We start from the raw sequence: 2548 nt of genomic DNA, 5'->3' as shown, positions 1-2548 counted from the left end.
AGTCTGTTTTATCAGAGACTAGGATTGCAACCCCTGCCTTTTTTTGTTTTCCATTTGCTTGGTAGATCTTCCTCCATCCTTTAATTTTGAGCCTATGTGTGTCTCTGCACATGAGATGGGTTTCCTGAATACAGCACACTGATGGGTCTTGACTCTTTATCCAATTTGCCAGTCTGTGTCTTTTAATTGGAGCATTTAGTCCATTTACATTTAAAGTTAATATTGTTATGTGTGAATTTGATCCTGTCGTTATGATGTTAGCTGGTGATTTTGCTCGTTAGTTGATGCAGTTTCTTCCTAGTCTCGATGGTCTTTATATTTTGGCATGATTTTGCAGCGGCTGGTACCGGTTGTTCCTTTCCATGTTTAGCGCTTCCTTCAGGAGCTCTTTTAGGGCAGGCCTAGTGGTGACAAAATCTCTCAGCATTTGCTTGTCTGTAAAGTATTTTATTTCTCCTTCACTTATGAAGCTTAGTTTGGCTGGATATGAAATTCTGGGTTGAAAATTCTTTTCTTTAAGAATGTTGAATATTGGCCCCCACTCTCTTCTGGCTTGTAGGGTTTCTGCCGAGAGATCCGCTGTTAGTCTGATGGGCTTCCCTTTGAGGGTAACCCAACCTTTCTCTCTGGCTGCCCTTAACATTTTTTCCTTCATTTCAACTTTGGTGAATCTGACAATTATGTGTCTTGGAGTTGCTCTTCTCAAGGAGTATCTTTGTGGCGTTCTCTGTATTTCCTGAATCTGAACGTTGGCCTGCCTTGCTAGATTGGGGAAGTTCTCCTGCATAATATACTGCAGAGTGTTTTCCAACTTTGTTCCATTCTCCCCATCACTTTCAGGTACACCAATCAGATGTAGATTTGGTCTATTCACATAGTCCCATATTTCTTGGAGGCTTTGCTCATTTCTTTTTATTCTTTTTTTCTCTAAACTTCCCTTCTCGCTTCATTTCATTCATTTCCTCTTCCATTGCTGATACCCTTTCTTCCAGTTGATCGCATCGGCTCCTGAGGCTTCTGCATTCTTCACGTAGTTCTCGAGCCTTGGTTTTCAGCTCCATCAGCTCCTTTAAGCACTTCTCTGTATTGGTTATTCTAGTTATACATTCTTCTAAATTTTTTTCAAAGTTTTCAACTTCTTTGCCTTTGGTTTGAATGTCCTCCCGTAGCTCAGAGTAATTTGATCGTCTGAAGCCTTCTTCTCTCAGCTCGTCAAAGTCATTCTCCCTCCAGCTTTGTTCCGTTGCTGGTGAGGAACTGCGTTCCTTTGGAGGAGGAGAGGCGCTCTGCGTTTTAGAGTTTCCAGTTTTTCTGTTCTGTTTTTTCCTCATCTTTGTGGTTTTATCTACTTTTGGTCTTTGATGATGGTGATGTACAGATGGGTTTTTGGTGTGGATGTCCTTTCTGTTTGTTAGTTTTCCTTCTAACAGACAGGACCCTCAGTTGCAGGTCTGTTGGAATACCCTGCCCTGTGAGGTGTCAGTGTGCCCCTGCTGGGGGGTGCCTCCCAGTTAGGCTGCTTGGGGTCAGGGGTCAGGGACGCACTTGAGGAGGCAGTCTGCCCGTTCTCAGATCTCCAGCTGCGTGCTGGGAGAACCACTGCTCTCTTCAAAGCTGTCAGACAGGGACATTTAAGTCTGGAGAGGTTACTGCTGTCTTTTTGTTTGTCTGTGCCCTTCCCCCAGAGGTGGAGCCTACAGAGGCAAGCAGGCCTCCTTGAGCTGTGGCGGGCTCCACCCAGTTCGAGCTTCCCTGCTGCTTTGTTTACCTAAGCAAGCCTGGGCAATGGCGGGCGCCCCTCCCCCAGCCTCGCTGCCGCCTTGCAGTTTGATCTCAGACTGCTGTGCTAGCAATCAGCGAGACTCCGTGGGCGTAGGACCCTCCGAGCCAGGTGAGGGATATAATCTCGTGGTGCGCCATTTTTTAAGCCGGTCCGAAAAGCGCAATATTCGGGTGGGAGTGACCCGATTTTCCAGGTGCGTCCGTCACCCCTTTCTTTGACTCGGAAAGGGAACTCCCTGACCCCTTGCACTTCCCAAGTGAGGCAATGCCTTGCCCTGCTTCAGCTTGCGCACGGTGCGCGCACCCACTGACCTGTGCCCACTGTCTGGCACTCCCTAGTGAGATGAACCTGGTACCTCAGATGGAAATGCAGAAATCACCCGTCTTCTGCATCGCTCATGCTGGGAGCTGTGTACCGGAGCTGTTCCTATTCGGCCATCTTGGCTCCTCCCACCTGGTAGCTGTTTCTTGCTCTTATTTTAATTTTCTGCTTGTACTCTGTTGCAGCTTTGGAATACAAAGTTCTAAGGCAGCGGTTTTCTATGTATGCGTTTTAGTGTAAGAATTTTGAGACATTTTGCTATTCATTGGCCGGTGGCTTTCGATATGCCAGATACCTGGTTTCTGGACACTCAAGTTATAACTCTAAATCTTGCAAATCTGCTATTCCACAGACGCACTAACTTGCTTGTTCTATAAAGACTTGGTTATTGTACCAACTAGAAAAGAAACAGAAAATTCTCATTTGTCCAAAATTTAAGCACTT

The 2548-nt window shown here is 46.0% G+C and overlaps 1 annotated feature.

Annotated features, from left to right (window-relative positions):
• Positions 1366-1952: an enhancer, noted in NCBI's record as "OCT4-NANOG-H3K27ac-H3K4me1 hESC enhancer chr3:182144163-182144749 (GRCh37/hg19 assembly coordinates)". NCBI's record gives its function as "activates a minimal SCP1, AML or CMV promoter by ChIP-STARR-seq in naive H9 embryonic stem cells {active_cell/tissue: H9 hESC(naive)}" and the evidence as "EXISTENCE:reporter gene assay evidence [ECO:0000049][PMID:30033119]".

Source organism: Homo sapiens, chromosome 3, assembly GCF_000001405.40.
Source record: "Homo sapiens chromosome 3, GRCh38.p14 Primary Assembly".
In the NCBI taxonomy this organism is placed as follows: domain Eukaryota; kingdom Metazoa; phylum Chordata; class Mammalia; order Primates; family Hominidae; genus Homo; species Homo sapiens.
Note: the sequence above shows the minus strand (reverse complement) of the source record. Positions and strands in the feature narration are given on the sequence as shown.